Genomic DNA, 20,584 nt, shown 5'->3' on the forward strand with positions numbered 1-20,584 from the left:
TAATAATTTCTAGAATTTACCTTTTTAGCCTTTTTTTCATACTTTTCCTCTAATTTACTAACCTCTTTTTGGGCCGTAGATCTCCTAAAAAATCTACTGAAAGCTAGAGAAGCTCTCAAGAGAAAAATGCACACACAATTTTATATGGACCCCAGGTTAAAAAGCCCCGGACTCTCCAATCAAGCACGTCTACTTACAGTGTCCTAGTTGGCTTTGCTTTTGCCTTTGCTCACACCATACCATATGCGGAATTGTTTTTCCCTCCATATTCTGGTTAATCAAATTCTGCTTATAGTTTAGGACCAGGCACAGGTTTTCTTAATTAATATAGTCATGTGTCACATAATGAGGGGGATATGTTCTGAGAAATGTACCATTAGGAAATTTTGTTGTTGTGTGAACATCGCAGAGTGTACTTACACAAACCCAGATGGCAGAGCCTGCTACACATCTAGGCTATATGGGATAGCCTATTGCTCCTAGTCCAGCAGTCCCCAACCTTTTTGACGCCAGGGACAGGTTTTGTGAAAGGCAATTTTTCCAAGAACTGGGGGTGGGGTGGGAGGGAGTGGTTTCAGGATGAAACTGTTCCACTTCAAATCATCAGGCAATAGAGGCCAATGGAGTGCGCAACCTGGATCCCTCTCATGTGCAGTTCACAACAGGGTTCCAGCTCTTATGAGAATCTAATGCCACTGTTGATATGACAGGAGGCGGAACTCAGGTGGTAATGTTCACTCGCCCACTGCTCACCTCCTGCTGTGGGGCCCAGTTCCTAACAGGCTATGGCCTGGGAACTGGGGACCCCTGTCCTAAGGGGCTACAAACCTGGACTGCATGTGACTATTGAATACTGTAGGCAACTGTGGCACAGTGATAAGCATTTCTGTATCTAAACACAGAAAAGGTATAGAAAAATGTAGTGTTACAGTCTTATAGAACCACTGCTGTATGTGCAATTGGTCATTGAAACGTTATGTGGTAAATGACTGCATATGTGAAAGTGTCTGGCACAGAGTTCAGCATGTGAAAAGTGCTCAATGAATGTTTCCTTTTCCCCTTCTTTTCTTTCCTACATGTTCGGGTCTAGTAAGCATCTCTTCTCTCAAATCTTCTATTATTTACCGTCTTTACTACTGACAAAGCACTTATATTATGCTTTATGTGTCTCAACCAGACTTAAGTAGCTTAAGAGCCTAGATCACACTTCTGAATCTTTGCCCTGCAAACTTGAACAAGATTTTTACAGCTGAAAAGGACATTAGAGATGCAGTTCAAATGAAAACATCACACCTTCATTTACTTGCTTTGTGCCACTTGCTCTGTGTCATGTGGATTAAGGATTAACACCTATCCAGAAGTTTGATAACTAAAAACAAAGCTATTTAGGCACAGTGGCTCACACCTGTAATCCCAGCACTTTGGGAGGCCGAGGCGGGAGGATCACCTGAGGTCAGGAGTTTGAGACCAGCCTGGCCAACATGGTGAAACCCCATCTCTACTAAAAATACAAAAATTAGCTGGGCATGGTGATGCACACCTGTAATCCCAGCTACTGGGGAGGCTGAAGCAGGAGAATTGTTTGAAGCCAGGAGGCAGAGGTTGCAGTGAGCCAAGATCGTGCCATTGCTCTCCAGCCTGGGAGACAAGAGCAAAATTCCGTCTCAAAGCAAAAAACAAAAAACAAAGCGGATTCTCCTCCAGAAACTTTTTCCAGGCAAAGCAGTAGCCTAAGGGTTTACAGCTGATGAATGCCACCAATGAGTTGGACAGTGTCTCAATAACTTTAGAATATCTATACCTCAAGTCCTCCTCCCAGGCAGGATCCATTGATGGCAGCCACAATAGGCTTTGTGGACTTTTCAAGTTTCTCAACTATTCTCTGTGCTTCTTGTGATAGCTGTGTTACTTCTTGAAGGGTCTTGCAAGCGGCTAACATGCTGCATTATCCATAAAAGTAGAGAACAGAGAAAAAGATAAAACTATAATTTATTTGGTTCAATACTTATTCACTATACACTTATCCTATCATGCATCAATATTTGATGACAAATCTTCAAATAGAAGGTTAAGAATGATTTTGCTTCAAATAGCACAATAGCAGCAACATCATTTCTCCATAAAGAGTGTTAAACTTCTGGATCCATGAGACCATCCCGGCTAACACGGTGAAACCCCGTCTCTACTAAAAATACAAAAAATTAGCTGGGCATAGTGGCGGGCGCCTGTAGTCCCAGCTACTTGGGAGGCTGAGGCAGGAGAACAGTGTGAAACCGGGAGGTGGAGCTTGCAGTGAGCCGAGATCGCGCCACTGCACTCCAGCCTGGGCGACAGAGTGAGACTCTGTCTCAAAAAAAAAAAAAAAAATTCTGGATCCAGAAAACATAAATGTGTTGCATAATTTATTTTTACTTCTGTAATAAATCATTAAATTACAAAGCTTGGTACAAGGGAAAATCATCTTTGGTAAATTACTTCACTATCAGATTAAACATTTCACTATCAGGTAGTTAACAGCAATAAAAATGACGCAAAAGAAAAGCTTCCAGGTTGTTTAGAGAAATCTAAAACATTTTAACAGATCCCACTAATGAATAAAAATGACCAGGTAGGCCAGGCATGGTGGCTCATGCCTGTAATCCCAGCACTTTGAGAGGCCAAGGCAGGTGGATCACCTGAGGTCAGGAGTTCGAGACCAGGCTGGTCAACATGGTGAAACCGCGTCTCTACTAAAAATACAAAAATTAGCTGGGCGTGGTGCTGCATTCCTGTAGTCCTGGCTACTCGGGAGGCTGAGGCGAGAGAATCACTGGAACCTGGGAGGTGGAGGTTGCAGTGGGCCGAGATCGCACCACTGTACTCCAGCCTGGACAGCAGAGGGAGACTCCGTCTCAAAAATAAATAAGTAAATAAAAATGATCAGGTGCAATGATGTTCCACTCAATGTCCTTTAATTTCAGTTTGTTTCATTTGCTATTTTGTGAACACACTTAGGATATGGATTTTGTACTTTTGACCAAGGATAACTAGTATATTCTGTAATTTTATACACTGAGAGTTGCTCAGCTGGCCTCATAGAAGCTACATGTATTTTCCTCTGGATATAGGTAGCTACTGCCAGGTACATCAGTGTCTTGTTAGACTTTATAAATGTTCTGTTTAATGTTAATTTTTTAGAAGACCCAAAATTATCTTATCAAGTGGTTTTTCTTCTAGCTGAATTATTTGTGCCTAACAAGAGACTGATTACTACACATAAATAATTACACTTTCAGTACAAATTACTAAACCTACAATGCTGGCTATCATTGTCTAAAATACAAAGAACATAACAAATACCCATATTTTAATGGAATTGACAACTTAACATTTTAACCTATTAAACTGACACTAAAATATCATTTCCCCTCCTTATGTATGTGTAAACAATTGTAAATAAGTTAATGTAGGCATGCATTCCACCATTTAGCAGAGGAAAAGAAAATACTAGCTGCATCTGTAAAGCTGCCTTTAACAATCAAGTCCTACCACCCACTTCATTTCCCCAAAGCAGCCATCTTCATGTTTGTAGTGTCTCCTTCCAGACCAACTACGATTGTGTCCATAAATAGTATCAAGAATTATTCCATGTTTGGTTTTAAAACATTTATAGAAACTATATACTGTATGAAACATTCTGCAATTTGCTTTTCTTTTAACTTAACCTTATGTTTTTGAGTTCTAACATCATATTGTGGATCTAGTTAATTCCTTTTACCTGTTTTGTAGTATTCTATTGTGTGAATAGTCCACATTTTACTTACCCATTTTCCTACTGACTGACATTTGGTTTTAAATTCTTCATTATTTCACACTACACAGGACCAAACATCCTTGTACACTGGTTCTTATAAACAAGGGGTGAGATTTCTCTAGATCACATGATGTGTGTGTGTGTGTGTGTGTATATATATATATATATACTCTGTGTGTGTGTGTGTGTGTGTGTGTGTGTGTGTGTGTGTGTATATACTTTTTTTTTTTAAGACAGTCTCACTCTGTCACCCAGGCTGGAGTGCAGTGGTGTGATCTCGGCTCACTGCAACCTCTGCCTCCCAGGTTCAAGGGATTTTCGTGCCACAGCCTCCTGAGTAGCTGAGATTACAAGCGTGTGCCACCATGCCTAATTTTTGTATTTTTAGTGGAGACAGGGTTTCACCATGTTGGCCAGGCTGGTCTTGAGCTCTTGGCCTCATGTGATCCACCTGCCTCGGCCTCCCAAAGTGCTGGGATTACAGGCAAGAACCACCACACCCAGCCTGATACGTACATTTTCAATTTTACAGGCCTGTGTCACTGTGCCCAGCACTTCTACTTTCTTTTAAAAGGAGAAATTATTAGGCCTAAGAAACACACTATTAACCAAGATAAAAGGTGACTTCAAGTTTCCTAAAACTTACTTGATATCAGCACCTGCAATAAAGCAGCCTGGCTTTGATGAGATAAGGACGGCACTTCTGATTTGATCACTAGCCCAGATTTCATTCATAACTTCTGAGAACTCTGAATGTAGCTCTTTACTCAGTGTATTTACCTGCCAAAGGGAAATATATACAGGTAAGGGTTTAAATTTGAAGCACTGGATGTACGTACCACCATCAAATGCTATTTTGATTATAAGAAATATACTTATCCGGCAGAAATATACTGTTAGAAGAGAGTAAGAAATATCATTCTCCCAGCAAGTCAGTAGCTTTCTATTCAGGCAGCTTTGGCCCACTACAAGCACCCCTTCCTTTAAAAATAGGTCTTCTCAAAGGAGAAACTCAGGGTCATCCTCAGAGTTTGAATCATATGTAGGCTATAAACAAATAGGTCTACAAACATTTATTGGCATGGAAAAAATCTGCATAATGTTAAGAAAAAAATGAAATACAAATAAGACATATAGGCCAGGCATGGTGGCTCATCCCTGTAATCCCTGCACTTTGGGAGGCCAAGGTGGGCGGATCACTTGAGTTCAGGAGTTCGAGACCAGCCTGGGCAACATAATGGAACCTTGCCTCTACAGAAAATACAAAAATTAGCCGGGCCTGACAGCACACGCCTATAGTCCCAGCTACTCAGGAGGCTTAGGTGGGAGGATCACCTGAGCCTGGGGAGGCTGAAGCTGCACTAACCTGTGACTGTGCCACTGCACTCCAGCCTAGGCAACAGAATGAGACCCTATCTTCAAAAAAAACCATATAGTATGATCTTAGTTTTGTAAATATTATTCATTGAAACTGAATTAAATGTGATTATCCCATGGAAGATACCAAGAAAAAGATGTGGTTATCTTTAGGTTTGAATTATGAATGTTTATTATTTTCTTCTTTATAATTTTTTATAGTTGAAAAATTTTCTACCATTGACATATATTACTTTTGTGTTCAGGAAAAATGTCCAACCTAAGAAAATTCTGAAAAAATATCTTAAGCTTGAATCATTGGTTAGTGAGTGCTAAAATTTACTCTAGTAAAGGGGAATGGCTCTTATTTACCTTAATTTGTGATAGTTGTCAACTGCTTCCATCTAGGTCTTATTACATCTAAGCCTCTGGCTATAAGTTTGTTGTTGTTGTTTTTTAGAGAGACAAGGTCTTGCTCTGTGGCCCAGGCTGGAGTGCAGTGGTGCAATCATAGCTCACTGTAACCTTGAATTCCTAGGCTTAAGTGATCTTTCCACCTCAGCCTTCAGAGTAGCTAGCACTACAGGTGAACATCACCATACCCAACTATTTTTTATTTTTTATAGAGACAAGGTCTTGCTATGTTGCCCAGGGTGGTCTCAAACTCCTGGGCTGAAGTGATCCTCCTGCCTCGGCCATCCAGTGTTGGGATTATAGGTGTGAGCCACAGTGCCCAGCCTGGCTACAAGATTTTTAAAGTAAGAATACACCAAATTTAGATGGGGGAAAAGCATGGACTCTCACAATAAAGCTCTTCTTGGCAAAAGAATGGATTACTGTTACACACTTTATTGAAGCTGCCAAAAACAAAAGAAGTTTCAATTCGAACAGAACTTGATTTCCAATATGTGAATTGCATTGAGTCATTCAGATCCCTCAGGAAGCTTAAGAGCCAAGTATCCACATTTCACTCAGCCAACTTACTATGAATAGTGACTTATGTCAGGCAAGTAATGAAGAAAATGGATTAACAACCTCATATTTAAGATGGGTAGGCAAATTTTGAGTCTTATAAACAAAGCTTGTACTCTGGTTCTTCTCTAATAAGTCACCTCCTCATTCTACACTATAACCAGGAGGCTGGTGGCACCTAAGGTCAACAAGAGGAATTCTTACGCAAGAACCTCTGCTTTAGAAAACTGGCTCCCTTGGCAATCTGTCAAAGTTTAACATAACTGTCAAAACTGTAAATTCATGTAAGATTACTGCCAGATTGGTAGATTTGGGGAAATATGGGATACATCTTTCCCATTCAGGACTAGATTCATAATGCGGTTAGCAGAAAAAAACTGCAAATTAAATGAGATACCTTTGAATTGGGAGAGTTAATTCGAACAACTGCCACATCCCCTTTGACTCCATAGTTAATATGGGTTCTGGCTAAAAAGAAAAGAAAGATTTATTTGTAAACATATTTATTGCAACATAAATCCAAAAAGCAATGTAAGCATACACATTAAAAAGAAATTAAACTTACTCAGCAAAGCAGAAGACCCTGTAAAATTGCGGCATATATAACCTGTAAGAAAAGACATTTCAAAATTAATTTGCGAAACAATTTCTGTAGTACCTTTTATATATAACAAAGCTGTAATTTACAATAATAACAACAACAAAAACCCCAAATCTGTACAATGTATTCTAGGCCATATGACTACTGCCATATTTTTTCCATTTCAGTTGTTAGGTCAGATGATTATTTGGATACTAAAAGAGGAAGACTGGCCCCCACAAAGGGATATACATCCCCAGAACCTGTGAATATGTTAGGTTACACGGCAAAGGGGGGATTAAAGTTGCTAATCAGTTGGCCTTAATAAAGAAAGTTTATCATGGATTATCCAGGTGGGCCCAGTGTAATCACAAAAGGGAAGAGGGAAGCAAAGAGAACCAAAGAGATAGCAATGTAAGAGGCACATGGGAACTACTGACTGGAGAACCCAGTGAAGGTGGAGTGGAATAGGGGAGGATCATCAGTAGGTTGCCAAGGCTCTTGCTGCCTCCGTATTTTCTCTTTATCCCCCAGTTCCTTATGGAAAGGGAAGAGAAGGCACAAAAAATAGCAGCTTTATACTGGTTGGAAAGGCAAGGTGACACATTAAAAAAAAAAAAAGAAAGAAAACTGTGGTTAGCACCAGAAGCAGAATGGGGTGATTTCAGGTTCTGCCTGCATTTCTTCTTTAAGCAATCCAAGCCAGCCGACTTAGTGCAAAGGCAAAGGACTTGTGTTCAACCATCAGGTTTATTTACTAGCTGTGTGACTGTGAACAAGTCTCTTACAAGTGAACTTCAGTGTTTTAAGATGGGAGAAGCCAGCCATCTCCTCAATCCCCAGTGCCTCTACTTGACTAATAGTATGTTTCCTGCTTTGCTTTTCCATCATTTGAAATCTGTGTCATCTGTATTTACCACTCTTCCTTCTTTATATTTGCATCATGACTCCACTCTTTTCCACAAAACCTCATCTTCGGATTCTGTCTACAGTGATCCTTCCTTTCCTTGCCTGCATTTTTATTTTATTATTTAATGTTCTGTCCTCTAACTGCTGCATCTGTAGCAGGTGTTTCACCAACCACATTGTAATCTTTTCCAACATAATCTGTTATTCATTCAACAAAAACATATATTGTGACCTCCATGTGCCATTCACTGTTCTAGGCACTTGGAGTACAGCAGGACATTCAGGGTGAACAAAAAAGACAAAAATCCCTGTCTTGGTGGAGCTTACATTCCAGGTCAGCAGGGGATATGATATCTGGGAAGAATCAGTTCCTACTCAGTGAAGATAAATGAAAAGTGAAAATAGGCCTGGCATAGAAAAAGTTTTCCTGCAAAGTAGAAATTCCAGTGGGAAGGGAAGAAGGGGATAGGTAATTCTAGCAAAACAGGGTAAAGTGGATTAGAGTGGGAATGAACTGATTGGGAATGCAGGTTGAGAGGGAAAAACCAAGAAACACAAATATGTTAGAAAATAAGCACCTAAGCAAAAAAAGGAAATAGAGTGAGCATGGGTTGCAATATTTCAAAAACATTTTTTTTCTTTGAGACGAGGTCTCCCTATGTTGCCCAGGCTGGTCTTGAACTCCTGGGCTCAAGTAATCTTCCGGAGTAGCTAGGATTACAGGCATGTGCCACTATGCCCCACTGGGTTGCAGTTTTAAAGATCAAATATTTGAGATAACAGGTTAGTGGTCATTAGCCAACAGTTTAAACCATTTTAACTCCTGTCCACTAACCTACCTATGCTGCCCACACACTCATACACAAAACCTCTCCAAGATCAAGACAAATAGAAACAAATAGAAAACCAGTATATACATGAACATACTTCGAAAATAATTCCAAACCAGAGTCAACCAAATCAAGTCACACTGCAAGGTAGCTTTGCTTTTGGAGTCTAGCCTTACTCACTACCTAACTGCAGAGCTTACCCTATGGCAGCTGAGTGAACTTTAGCCTACATCTACTGTGCCAGCAAAGTAGAGAGAAACCTTTGCCCCACTTTTTAATCATCTTTGTAATGTAACCCAAGAATAACTACAAAACCTCATAAGACTACAGTCAGCGAAGAGAGCTGGATTATGCTAACATAAATTTCAAATTTGAAAACATTACTTTGGTTGTAATAATCAACAGCTTTTCTCAAGATTCAACACTGGGAGAAGCGACGAGATTAAGGAAGTGAGAATCAAATTTAAAAATACACAATCTATGGCCGGGCGCGGTGGCTCACGCCTGTAATCCCAGCACTTTGGGAGGCTGAGGTGGCTGGATCACCTGAGGTCGGGAGTTAGAGACCAGCCTGGCTGACATGGCGAAACCCCGTCTCTACTAAAAATACAACAACAACAACAAAAAAAAAAAAACAAAAAAAAAGTTAGCTGGGCGTGGTGGCAGGAGCCTGTAATCCCAGCTACTCTGGAGGCTGAGACAGGAGAATCACTTGAACCCGGGAGGCGGAGGTTGCAGTGAGCCAAGAGCGCACCATTGCACTCCAGGCTGGGTGACACAGTGAGACTCCGTCTCCAAAAAAAAAACCGAAAAAACAAACAAACAAAAAAACCATCTATTAAGGTATTTGCCTCTAAATTCATCTCCTGTGAAATTATTTTACTACTAATACCTATTTACTACTAAATACCTAATTAGGAATTTAGATTTAGGATAGGAGTGGGAATTAGACAACATACTCTGGTCAAGAAGTGATTTTCATTTGATATTCACATTCAGAATTATAGCACTTGTAGAGAAGGAATGCTTTAAAATTTCAAGAATTACAAGTCTCCTTCAAGATAATTTTTTTTTTTTTGAGATATGGTCTCATTCTGTCCTCCAGGTGTGATCTTGGCTCACTGCAACCTCCACCTCCTGGGTTCAAGCGATTCTCCCACCTCAGCCTCCCGAGTAGTTGGGATTACAGACGTGTGCCACCACACCTGGCCAATTCTGGTATTTTTTGGTAGAGATGGGGTTTCACCATGTGGGCCAGGCTAGACCTCAAGTGATCTGCCCGCCTTGGCCTCCCAATATACTGGGATTATAGGCATGAGCCACCGTGCCTGGCCCCTTTCAAGAGAATTTTATCATCCACCAGCAAAGGTCATAATCTCATTAAATGTTTGGCAAAGCCTTGCACAGACTTTTACTGTGAAGGATCTATTGAGTCTAAATAGTAATATAAGGGTGCAGGTCATTTTAAATTCACTTTCCAGACTTTTTTTCAAAATTTATAAATTGCTATTAAGGGATCAGTAACTACAACGAATGATACTTTCTTACTGGTGAAAACACAATGCAAAGTATATATTTATGTGTCTATATATTTCTATACAGAAAACAGAAAAATTAGGTTGGTAGCTTTTTATTACACACATAAGATGTACAAATTACTTTTAAAAACTCTCAGATATATACAATCGTATTTCTTCCAGGCTGGAGTTAATAATATTTACTGAGTGCTTACTCCATGAAAAACTGCTTGATATCTAAAATAACTCCTTTTCATCACACAAGGTGGTATTATTCCCCATTTTACAAATGAGAAAACAAACACAGAAATTAATTGCCCAAGGTCATCAGAGGGTAAAAGGCAGAGCCAGGTCCAAACCCAGAAGTCAGACTCCAAACAATGTTTTTTTTGTTTGTTTGTTTGTTTTTGAGACGGAGGACCAGGCTGGAGTGCTGTGGCGCGATCTCGGCTCACTGCAAGCTCCGCCTCCCGGGCTCACGCCATTCTCCTGCCTCAGCCTCCCGAGTAGCTGGGACTACAGGCGCCCACCAACACGTCCGGCTAATTTCTTGTATTTTTAGTAGAGACGGGGTTTCACCGTGTTAGCCAGGATGGTCTCGATCTCCCGACCTCGTGATCCGCCCGCCTGGGCCTCCCAAAGTGCTGGGATTACAGGCGTGAGCCACCGCACCCGGCCCAAACAATGTTTATTAATTGCTCTGTCATGCTACTTCTCATGCAAAGGAAATCCATCATCTCAATCATTCATTTTGCAGATGAGGAAAATAAAGCCCATTTAGTTTAAGGCATTTGTCCAAAGTAACACAGCTAGTGACTAGAACCACGTGCCCTGGCTACCACTTCCGAGTGACATCAGCTGCCGATCCATAAGAAATACCTTCAAACCAATGCAGGGGTAAGATAAAAATTACACGTTACTTTTCAAAAGTGTTGTGAAAATAGGGGAAAAAAACCACCAAACCTGTAAGGAAACATAACCGAAGGCTAACCGTAGGTAAGCATATGAGTAGTAAGACAATGGGTGATTCGTTTTTTTTTCATCTCTTTCCTCAATCCTTACAGCATTTCAATGTTCTATAATGTGCTTATGTTATAATTGGCAAATACATGCTACAGTTTTGTGGAGACTAAAAACAGCTGTTGAAAAAAGGGAGCAGAAAAATATTCAATCATTAAAAAAATCCCCTTACAGTAAGGGATTTCAGCTACTTGTCTAAAAAAAGCATACTACTTCAGCGGTTCCGGAAGAGGGAAGAGAGGTAATTCATATTACAAATTAAATTAAAAGTTAAAATTTCTAGTTAAGTAACTTATTAAGCACAACATGCAATAAAACGTTGTCCACTTTTGACTTTACAGATTTGGGATGGAAAGAAAATGCAACGTTTCCTACAACCACCCACTTTAACCCTTTCACTGCCAGTTTGAAAAGGAAAAACACTAGCTAATACAGGCTGACTGGGAATCATCAGATTACAAATCGTTCTCAGAACGATCTAACATTTTATTGCTTAAGGTAGAGGTATTAGCGTATTTTTAAAGTGTGTCTTCCAGTAAGTTGCAGAACTTCCCGCTGAAATTCAAAATACTATACGTTCACACTGACATTACTGAAACTGCAAGAGTTGAGCTCCCTACTTGATTGGGGTAGTAAGCACAAAAATGGTTTTGAGGGAACGGAGCAGGGAGGGGCAGTGATCTGCAAGGCTGATTAATCCCATACAAGACAGCGCTTGTTGCGGGGTAAGGTGCTGTTTTTAAGACAGCTCTTGTTGCGGGGCAAGGTGCTGTGGAGCCACAAAGATGCGACAGAATGGATCCCGATTCTCCTGGAACTCCGGATCAAGAAAATATGAGGGGCGTGAGCCCAGAAGTGCGACGCAAGAGACCCGCGGAAAGGTGACAGAACGAGTGGCACCAGACTCAGAAAGTTGGGGAGTTAGGAAGCCTGAAATCGCCGCAGGAGTCGTGAGAGGGGAAGTGACAGTCTCTTCAGAAGGTCACGGGAAACCGGGTCCCAGGGCAGTATCCCCACAGAGGGCTGCGTCTCCGGGCTGGGGCAGGCGGCAGCGAAAGGGAGACGCGGCTCCGGGGCCACCCCAGTCCCGGCAGGAGTTCTGCCCGGAGGTCTGGGATGCCCTCGGCCAGGCCTCACCTCGGGAGCGGAGGATCCTGAAGGCAGAAAAGCGGCTGAGGATGCCAATCGCCCGGCAGGCCACCATCTTGAGCTGAAGAGGACAGCAGTGGAGAGCGCCTCTAACGGGTGCGGCCGAGCGGAGGACTTTTCTCCCGTAGCCTGGCAGCCAGGCGCCTGGAGCACTGCCTGACTAAAACCCAGATGCCGAGTGGCCGCCGGCCCCTTAGCCCTGCCCCTCGCTCCTGGCTAACATGGCCGAAAGGTCGTATTCTCCGGGGGAGGACGGGGGCCCGGAGAGGAGGGGGTGGAGTGCCTGGTTTTCCAGTCAGGCGGCCGGAGGGCAGCCCTCAAGAACGGCCCTGACCGCCCGCGGGGTGAGGGGCCCTTTCTGGGCAGGACCCGCCCCTTGGTCCCGCAGAGCCTTGGTACTTGGACCTGAACCTTGCTCCGAGAGGGAGTCCTCGCGGACGTCAGCCAAGGTGAGACGGCGAGCCCTCAGCTCTCCGCCCGGGCTTTCCCAAAGGCGAGATTCCACTTCCTTCCCCGCAACTGTCGCCGGTGCCCCCGGCCCCCTCCCCTCCCTGGGAAAGTGGGAGTTGAGGGAGCGGAAGGAAACTCCTCGGACAAGGTCGGCAGTGCTAGCTGCAGTTAGGACAGTGACTTGGACTAGCGTTCCAGCTGAAGTTCGGGACAGTAGTGTCACCTGCGCCCTAATTTATCATCACAAGTTAACGAAGTCTGGGGGTGTGGGGGTGTGTGTGTGTGTGTGGGTGTGTGTGGGCGTGTGTGGGCGTCGGCCTTAATGTAACCCTGGTCTGCGTAGAAGTGTGTGTTGTTTCGCCTGCTTCCCCTGTACCCAGGTCGGCGGCTATAGAGATTGTGGACGGCGCCATGGGTTTGCCCGATTTCTGCTGTAAAGAATAAGACTAGGTCAGGTGACCTTTCGGGGCTTGAGTGTGGGAGGAACGGAGACAATCCTCCATCCGGCTCCGTTATCCAGATAATCCTGCGCTCTCGGGGGTTTTCCGATCTGGATGATTATCTATCTGGTCGTTCACACCTCAGCTCACTTAAGCGGTGAAGAAACTGCCTACGAATCAGAGAGAGTGATTTTACCCATGGCCATATGTAGTAGAAATAAGACTGGAGCCTAAGTCTACTAACTCCTAGTGAAGAGTTCTTCATTGCATGGTAGCTGTTTTTGTGCTGGAATGATGGGCTGGAGTCCTGGAATAAAGTGATTGATTTCAAAAGGAAGTCACATTGAGAGCCTGCTGTGCTCTGGTCACCTTCATACCTTTTTGTTTAGTCCTCACATTCCCCAAATTATTATCATTTGCATTTTCTAGATGAAGTTTGGGAAGCTCAGAATATATACATTTTCTAGTCTGTGACAGACCTAGCATTCAGACATAAGTCTGAGTCTCACTACTCGCCAGACTGACAGCTCTGCAGGACAGGAAACAAGGGGCATCGAAGTTAAGACTGAAATGAGTATAGAGACAGAGTAGAGAGGTTTCTGTTTAAAGCTCAAGTTGCATAGTGAGTGCTCATCATGTGAGCACTTTAAGCAGAAACTGGATGACCTGACCACTTCTGAATAAATTGCAAAAAGGATTCTTGATAATCTTACAAGGTTTTTACAGTTCAGAGCCTGCCTCCTGCCCATGTAATGCTTTCTTCAACACCTAACTGCGTGTAACACTTATTATTTAGGTCAGAAGTGGTAAATTTTGTTGTTGTTGTTAAAGGTCCAGACAGTAAATAGTTCAGGATTTGCAGGATCACTTTGGTCTCTGTTATATATTGTTTCTTTTGTTTTGTTTTGTTTACAACTTTTTTTTTTTTTTGAGACAGTTTTGCTCTTGTTGTCCAGGCTGGAGTGCAGTGGCGCGATCTTGGCTCACTGCAGCCTCCTCCCGGGTTCAAGTGATTCTCCTGCCTCAGGCTCCCGAGTAGCTGGGATTACAAGCGCACACCACCACGCCGGGCTAATTTTTTGTATTTTTAGTAGAGACGGGGTTTCACCATGTTAGCCAGCCTGGTCCCGAACTCCTGACCTTAGGTGATTCGCCCACCTCTGCCCCCCAAAGTGCTGGGATTACAAGTGTGAGCCACCACGCCCGACCTTACAACTCTTTAAAAATGTGAAAAACTATTTTTAGCTAGAGGCCCGTGTGTTGTAGTTTGCCAATCCCTGATTTAGATCACTCATTTGGCTCCATTTTTTTGCTCCCTGTGCTTTCTCTACAAAACTAAGCTCCATCAGGGCAGAAATGTTATAATGTTTCTTTGATCCCTAAGCACTTTAGTCCAATGGTTTATATAGAGGGAAACAGTACATTTGTATCACCATCTCTACTGGTAATAGCAAACACAGGTATACCCCTAACTGTGTATCAAGCACTGTTTTAAGTGGTGTGTGCACGTGGGTGTGCGTGCGTGTGTGTGTGTGCGCGTGCGCGTCCTATGTGGTTAAGTAACTGGCTTAAAGTCATACAGCTAGGGTGAATCAGGATTTGGACATAGTCTGGCTTTAGTTCTCTTAACCATTACGTTGTGTTTCAAAGTTGTAATAATGAGCTGTTAGAGCCACCCCATCTTGCTTTTGTTTTCATTACTTGCCTAGACTCTTCTTCCTTTCCCTTGCTCCCAGGTGCCTGCAGCTTCGTGTATCTTTCCATAGTTCACACCTTACTCAGGCTTACCCTAACCAACTCGATCCTACCCTACCCTACCCTGGAGTTTCCATGCTTTGAATATTTTTACCAAAATTTCTGTTTTCTGAAGTTTAGCAAATGACAGAAAGGTCAGCTCTGCTATAGGATAATTTGCTTAGTCCCTCTTACTTTTGAAATCTCTATTTTTTATTAACTATTGAAGGAATACATATTCCATGTAATTTTTTATTCAGAAACTACAGAAAAGTCTAAAGAAAATCTGTAATTCCACCACCCGGAGATAACTACTTTTAACATTTTGATGTGTATTTTTCTGGACTTTTTAAAATGCATTTGTATATTTGTATATATTTATATAAGATATTGATGTACAGTCGGCCCTTGGTATCTGTGAGTTCTACATCCTCAGATTCAACCAATGTCTGAGTGAAAATGTAGTTAGGCCTACAGTGGTTTCATTTGTCCTGAACATGTACAGACTTTTTTTCTCATCATTATTCCCTAAACGATACAGCATAACGACTATTTACATAGATTTACATTGCATTCGGTATTGTAAGTAGTCTAGAGATGATTTAGAGTATGCATGAGGATGTGTGTAGGTTCTTTGCAAATAAATACTATGCCATTTTATGTAAAGGACTTGAGCATCCTTGAGGTTTGGTATCTGAGGGGGGTTCTGGAACCAATCCCCCTTGGATACTGAGGAACAACAGTATATATAGATTTTAAATAAAACTAGAATTATGCATAAGTAAAATGCTTATTTTAAAAAAATTAAAGAGAACAGAAGAATATTAAATAAAAGCCTTTCTTTATCCTTCCATGTCTAGACTCATAGCTTCAGGGACTTTCTTTTCTCTTTCTCTCTTTCTGTCACAAAATGGTTGTTGTAGTAGGGTTTACTTACCCATTTCCCTATTTTCCAGTTATTCTAATCTATTATTCTAATTTCTAATACACATTGTTCTGTAGCTTGCTTTTTCATTTAATATATATTATGGACATTTTTCCATGTCAGTATATATACATGTACATCATTTTGTTTCATTTTCTTTTCCAAACTGCCAAACAGTATTCCATGGTGTGTTTATACTATAACTTACTTAACTGTTTCCTACTGATGTGCATTTAGATTAGTTACGGTTTTCCACAAATATAAACAGTGCTATAGTGAACACCTTGAGTATTTCTTTTTTTTTTTTTGAGACGGAGTCTCGTTCTGTCTCCTAGGCTGGAGTTCAGTGGCGTAAGCCACCACCCCTGGCCCACCTTGAGTATTTTACGCTAGAGACCTATATATGCTATACATACATTTTGAATATTTCTATAGGTTAGAGACCAATAAAAGGCATTATTGGACTCAAAAATTCACATTTTAAATTCTGATCTATAACTACAAAATTGTCATCCCAAAAGGCCTTAGCATTTTACATGTCTTCTAGTGTATGGAAGTGCCTATTTAGTTAGATGCATTCTTACTAGAATTATATATTAACCATATTTTCAATGTTTGCCAATCTGAAAACCACAAAATGATACCTTGCTTTGATTTAAAAAACAACAACAACAACAACAAAAAGGCTGGGCGCAGTGGCTCATGCCTGTAATCCCAGCACTTTGGGAGGCAGAGGCGGGCGGATCACCTGAGGTCAGGAGTTCAAGACCAGCCTGGCCAACATGGTGAAACCCCATCTCTGCTAAAAATACAAAAATTAGACAGGCGTGGTGGCACGTGCCTGGAGTCTCAGCTACTCGGGAGGCTGAGGCAGGAGAATCGCTTGAACCCAGGAGGTGGAGGTTGCAGTGAGCCGAGATCGCGCCATTGCACTCCAACCTGGGGGACAAGAGTGAGACTTTGTCTCAAAAAAAAAAAGAAAATCACAACTTTTTGTTAGTGAGGTTGAACATTATACATTTTGTTTATTTGGCATTTTAATTTCTTCTGTGAATGGCTTGTTTTCTCATTCTTGCTTTTGGTCATGTATCAGGAAGGAGTCTTTCAGTTGCAAATAACAGAAAATTCAAATCAAATTGGCTTCTTAAAGGGGATTTATTAGTCCGGGCGTGGTGGCTCACGCCTGTAATCCTAGCACTTTGGGAGGCTCAGGAGTTCGAGACCAGCCTGATCAACACGGTGAAATCCTGTCTCTACTAAAATAAAAAAAATTAGCCTGGTATGGTGGTGTGCGCCTGTAGTCCCAGTTACTCGGGAGGCTGAGGCAGGAGAATTGCTTGAACCCAGGAGGCAGAGGTTGCAGTGAGCCAAGATCGCGCCGCTGTACTCCAGCCTGGGCGACAGAGTGAGACTCCGTCTCAAAAAAATAAATAAATAAATAAAGGAGATTTATTGGCTCACAGAACTGAAAAGCACAATGAGAGGTTGGGTTTCAGATGGGATTCGGCCAGGACTCTTCTTTTTCCAGAATTCTCAGCTCCGTACTCTTCTGCTTGTTTGGTGTTAGCTCTATCTTAGCCTAGCTTTGTTAATGTTTGCAAATTGCTGTAGCCATGCCAGGCCTCAGAAGGAAAGATTTGTGTTCCAGAATTATAGGCAGAAGACTTGAGTGTTAAACTGATGAAACCATCCACAAATCAATACCAGTGGTCAAGGCAATGCCGTGCATGGTTGTTTGAGGCCTTGGTACCTGAATCAATGATCTTGGCAGAGAGAATGAGATTATTCTGATTGGTTTAAACCCTGGAGTTGGGCTGGATTCAATCCCATGTAAGCCACATACAGCAGCTACATTTGGGTGGAATGGATATTAGAGTACAAACTACAGATTCCATGATAGATTGTTTCTGTTTTTCTTTTTCTTTCTTTTTTTGGAGATGGAGTCTCGCTCTGTCGCCCAGGCTGGAGTGCAATAGTATGATCTTGGCTCACTGCAACCTCCGCCTCCCGGGTTCAAGCGATTTTCCTGCCTCAGTTCCCAAGTAGCTGGCTTACAGGCATGTGCCACCAGGCCTGGCTAATTTTGTATTTTTATTAGAGATGGGCTTTCTCTATGTTGGTCAGGCTGGTCTTGAACTCCCAACCTCAGGTGATCCACCTGCCTGGGCGTCCCAAAATGCTGGGATTATAGGCATGAGCCACTGCGCCTGGCCTTATTTTTCTTATAATTTGTACAAGTTCTTTATGGATTATGGGTATCAACCCTTTTCTGTTTTACATGTTACAAATATTTTCTCTGAATCTATTTGCCTTTTAACTTGATTTTAGTATATTTTACTATGTGTATATTTTGAATGTTTATATGATCAGATCTATTAGTTATTATTTTCTGTTGTACTTCTGGGTTTTGTGCCATATGTTGAAATCCCTTCTCCATCTAAGTGATAAAAATATTCTCTGAGGCTGGATATGGTGGCTCATGCTTGTAATCCCAGCATGTTGGGAGGCCGAGGTAGGAGGATTACTTGAGGCTAGGAGTTTGAGACTAGCCTGTCTCTAAAGTTTTTTTTTTTTTTTTTAATTAGCCAGGCATGGTGGCATGTGCCTGTAGTCTAAGCTACTCAGGAGGCTGAAGCAGGAGGATCCCTTGAGCCCAGGAGTTCCAGATTGCAGTGACCTATGATCATACCACTGCACTACAGCTTGGGCAACAGAGCGAGACCCTGTCTCTAAAAAATACATACACGTGTGTGTATGTATATATTATATTCTCCGATGTTTTCCTCTAGTACTTTTATAGTTAGAATATATATATTTAAAATATATACATTTAAATATTTAATCTGTCTGGCATTTATTTGTGCTTTCGCTGTGAGCTGCGAACCTAAAATTTTTTCCAAATGTTTAGCCATTTTCCCAGTGAATTCATGGAATAATTTCTTTCTCTCAGCTAACTCAAGTGTTATATTTATTATACACTAAATTCTTACATACATGGGTCTGCTTCTGAACTGCTACATCCTGTTTTGTTGATCAGTGTCGTTTATTCCTGTGCTAAAGCTGCTCTGTTTTAATTATTGGTTCTTTCTAGAAAGTGTTTTGTTTGTTTTTTTTTGAGACAGGATCTTACTCTGTTGCCCAGGCTTGAGTACAGTAGCGTGATCATGGCTCACTGCAGCCTCGAACTCCTGGCTCGGGTGCTCCTCCCACCTCAGCCTCTTGAGTAGCTGCGACTACAGGCACATGCCACCATGCCCAGCTAGTTTTTTGTATTTTTTGTAAAGACAGGGTCTCACTAGGTTGCCCAGGCTGGTCTCAAACTCCTGGGCTCAAGTGATCCTCCCACCTCGGCCTCCCAAAGTGCTGGGATTACAGGTGTGAGCCTCTGTGCCTGGCCTAGAAAGTTTTGTTATCTGTTGCAACAAGGTTCCCCCTTTTGTTTTTCAACATTTTCTTGACAATTTTCATGAATTTTATTTCAAGATGAACCTTACGTAAGGGAACTTGTAGCCCAGACCCTTGTGGCATTGTAAGTAGCTTCTGAGTGGTGCCTCTCTCATGGGCCTCTTTGTGTTTCTCTGGCCAGAGTCCTTTGAATATCCCTAGGCTGGTGATCCTAAAGCTTGGGCTTCTCCATCTCTTTCCAATCCACATGTTTGGAACATGTTTTGTTTTTTTCTTTTCGGAAGCTATAGGACCTCCTTCTTTTAGTCTCTAAAGACCCAAGAGAAGTTAAACCTTAAAGCTTTTGTATTATCTATTTCTGTGTAGCCAATTACCGCCAAATGTAGCAGTTTAAAACAATACATGTTTACCATCTCATAGTTTCTGAAGGTCAGGAATCAAGGGCACTTTAGCTGGGTTGCTCTGAGTTTCCCATAAGGTGGCTGTCAGAATGTTGGCAGGGCTGGAGTCAGCTGAAAGCTTGCCTGCGCTAGAGGCTCCGCTTCCAAGCTCACTCACATGGCTGTTGGCAAGAGGCATCAGTTCCTCACCACAGGAGCCTCTTCATAAGGCTGCTCAGGACATGCCACCTGGCTTCTCTCATAGTGGGTGAGCTGAGAGAGAGACCACGACAGATGCTGCAGTATCTCTTATAGCCTATCTCAGAAGTGGCATACCATTACTTGTAACATACTTTTTGGTTTATACATTCTGTGATATGGAGAGGGAGGCAGCTAGACAAGGATGTGAATACCAAGAGGTAGAGATTATTGGGGGGCAACTTGGAGGCTGGCTACCAAAGTCTTTGTTGGTAAATCTTGTGGGATTTTTTTGGTTTTGATTTTTTGTTGTTGTTGTTAAAACATGCTTCAAAATTAAGAAATTATAAAAGGTGTGTGATGACAAGTCTTCCACCCCTGACCCCTAGTTACCCAGTTCCCTTTCTTCCAGCCAACAATTATTTTTAACATCTTTATTATACTTCCAGGGGGATTTTATACTGATACAAGGAAATGTACATAATATTTTTCCTCTTTTAACATGAATGATAGCATGCTGTACAGCTATTTTGCACCTTGCTTTCTTCACTTAATGATACAGCTTAAAATGGTTCCGAATTGGTGCATAATCATTTCCTTACCTTTTACAGCTGCATAGTATTTCACAGGGGTGTTGTAGCATGGTTTACTTACCCATTTTCCTATTTTTTGGTTATTCTAATTTTTGACTATTACAGTAACAATATGGATTATGTCCTGTGTGTGAGTAATATCCATGAAGTCAGTTCATGGAAGTGGAATTGCTGGTTCAAACATTAGTTTCAGTTATAGTTTTCATGGATAATTACCAAATTGCCCTCCCCATGGACTGTGCCAGTTCTCTTGGCAGCAGTATATGAGAATATCTATTTGCACATACTCTTACCTACACAGAGTATATATCAAACCTTTGAATCTTTGCTACT

At 41.8% G+C, this 20,584-nt stretch overlaps 2 protein-coding genes across 5 annotated transcripts in view, besides 4 other annotated features; one reads left to right on the forward strand and one right to left on the reverse strand.

Annotated features, from left to right (window-relative positions):
• The window catches only part of HADHA (hydroxyacyl-CoA dehydrogenase trifunctional multienzyme complex subunit alpha), a 53,998-nt gene extending 41,781 nt beyond the window's left edge, over window positions 1-12,217 (reverse strand). Inside the window, exons 1-5 of the mRNA NM_000182.5 lie at window positions 12,115-12,217; window positions 6,687-6,728; window positions 6,519-6,589; window positions 4,440-4,573; window positions 1,802-1,940 (exon numbers count right to left, since the gene is read on the reverse strand). Coding sequence (NP_000173.2) covers window positions 1,802-1,940; window positions 4,440-4,573; window positions 6,519-6,589; window positions 6,687-6,728; window positions 12,115-12,181 — 453 coding nt within the window. The 5' untranslated portion in view covers window positions 12,182-12,217. The remainder of the gene's footprint in view (window positions 1-1,801; window positions 1,941-4,439; window positions 4,574-6,518; window positions 6,590-6,686; window positions 6,729-12,114) is intronic.
• Window positions 10,033-10,573: an enhancer, noted in NCBI's record as "H3K27ac hESC enhancer chr2:26465316-26465856 (GRCh37/hg19 assembly coordinates)". NCBI's record gives its function as "activates a minimal SCP1, AML or CMV promoter by ChIP-STARR-seq in primed H9 embryonic stem cells {active_cell/tissue: H9 hESC(primed)}" and the evidence as "EXISTENCE:reporter gene assay evidence [ECO:0000049][PMID:30033119]".
• Window positions 12,059-12,739: an enhancer, noted in NCBI's record as "H3K27ac hESC enhancer chr2:26467342-26468022 (GRCh37/hg19 assembly coordinates)". NCBI's record gives its function as "activates a minimal SCP1, AML or CMV promoter by ChIP-STARR-seq in primed H9 embryonic stem cells {active_cell/tissue: H9 hESC(primed)}" and the evidence as "EXISTENCE:reporter gene assay evidence [ECO:0000049][PMID:30033119]".
• HADHB (hydroxyacyl-CoA dehydrogenase trifunctional multienzyme complex subunit beta) overlaps window positions 12,524-20,584 on the forward strand; it is a 45,527-nt gene continuing 37,466 nt past the window's right edge. For 3 of the 4 annotated variants that reach the window (NM_001281513.2, NM_000183.3, NM_001281512.2), the window contains exon 1: window positions 12,524-12,575. The gene's annotated coding sequence lies outside the window, so the exon portion shown is untranslated. Of the gene's footprint in view, window positions 12,725-20,584 lie in introns of all 4 variants that reach the window. The other variant, XM_011532803.2, reaches the window with a different exon arrangement.
• Window positions 12,594-12,693: an enhancer, noted in NCBI's record as "active region_15469". NCBI's record gives its function as "activates an Ori minimal core promoter by ATAC-STARR-seq in GM12878 lymphoblastoid cells {active_cell/tissue: GM12878}" and the evidence as "EXISTENCE:reporter gene assay evidence [ECO:0000049][PMID:35858748]".
• Window positions 13,552-14,279: an enhancer, noted in NCBI's record as "H3K4me1 hESC enhancer chr2:26468835-26469562 (GRCh37/hg19 assembly coordinates)". NCBI's record gives its function as "activates a minimal SCP1, AML or CMV promoter by ChIP-STARR-seq in primed H9 embryonic stem cells {active_cell/tissue: H9 hESC(primed)}" and the evidence as "EXISTENCE:reporter gene assay evidence [ECO:0000049][PMID:30033119]".

Source organism: Homo sapiens, chromosome 2 (genome assembly GCF_000001405.40).
Source record: "Homo sapiens chromosome 2, GRCh38.p14 Primary Assembly".
Lineage (NCBI taxonomy): Eukaryota > Metazoa > Chordata > Mammalia > Primates > Hominidae > Homo > Homo sapiens.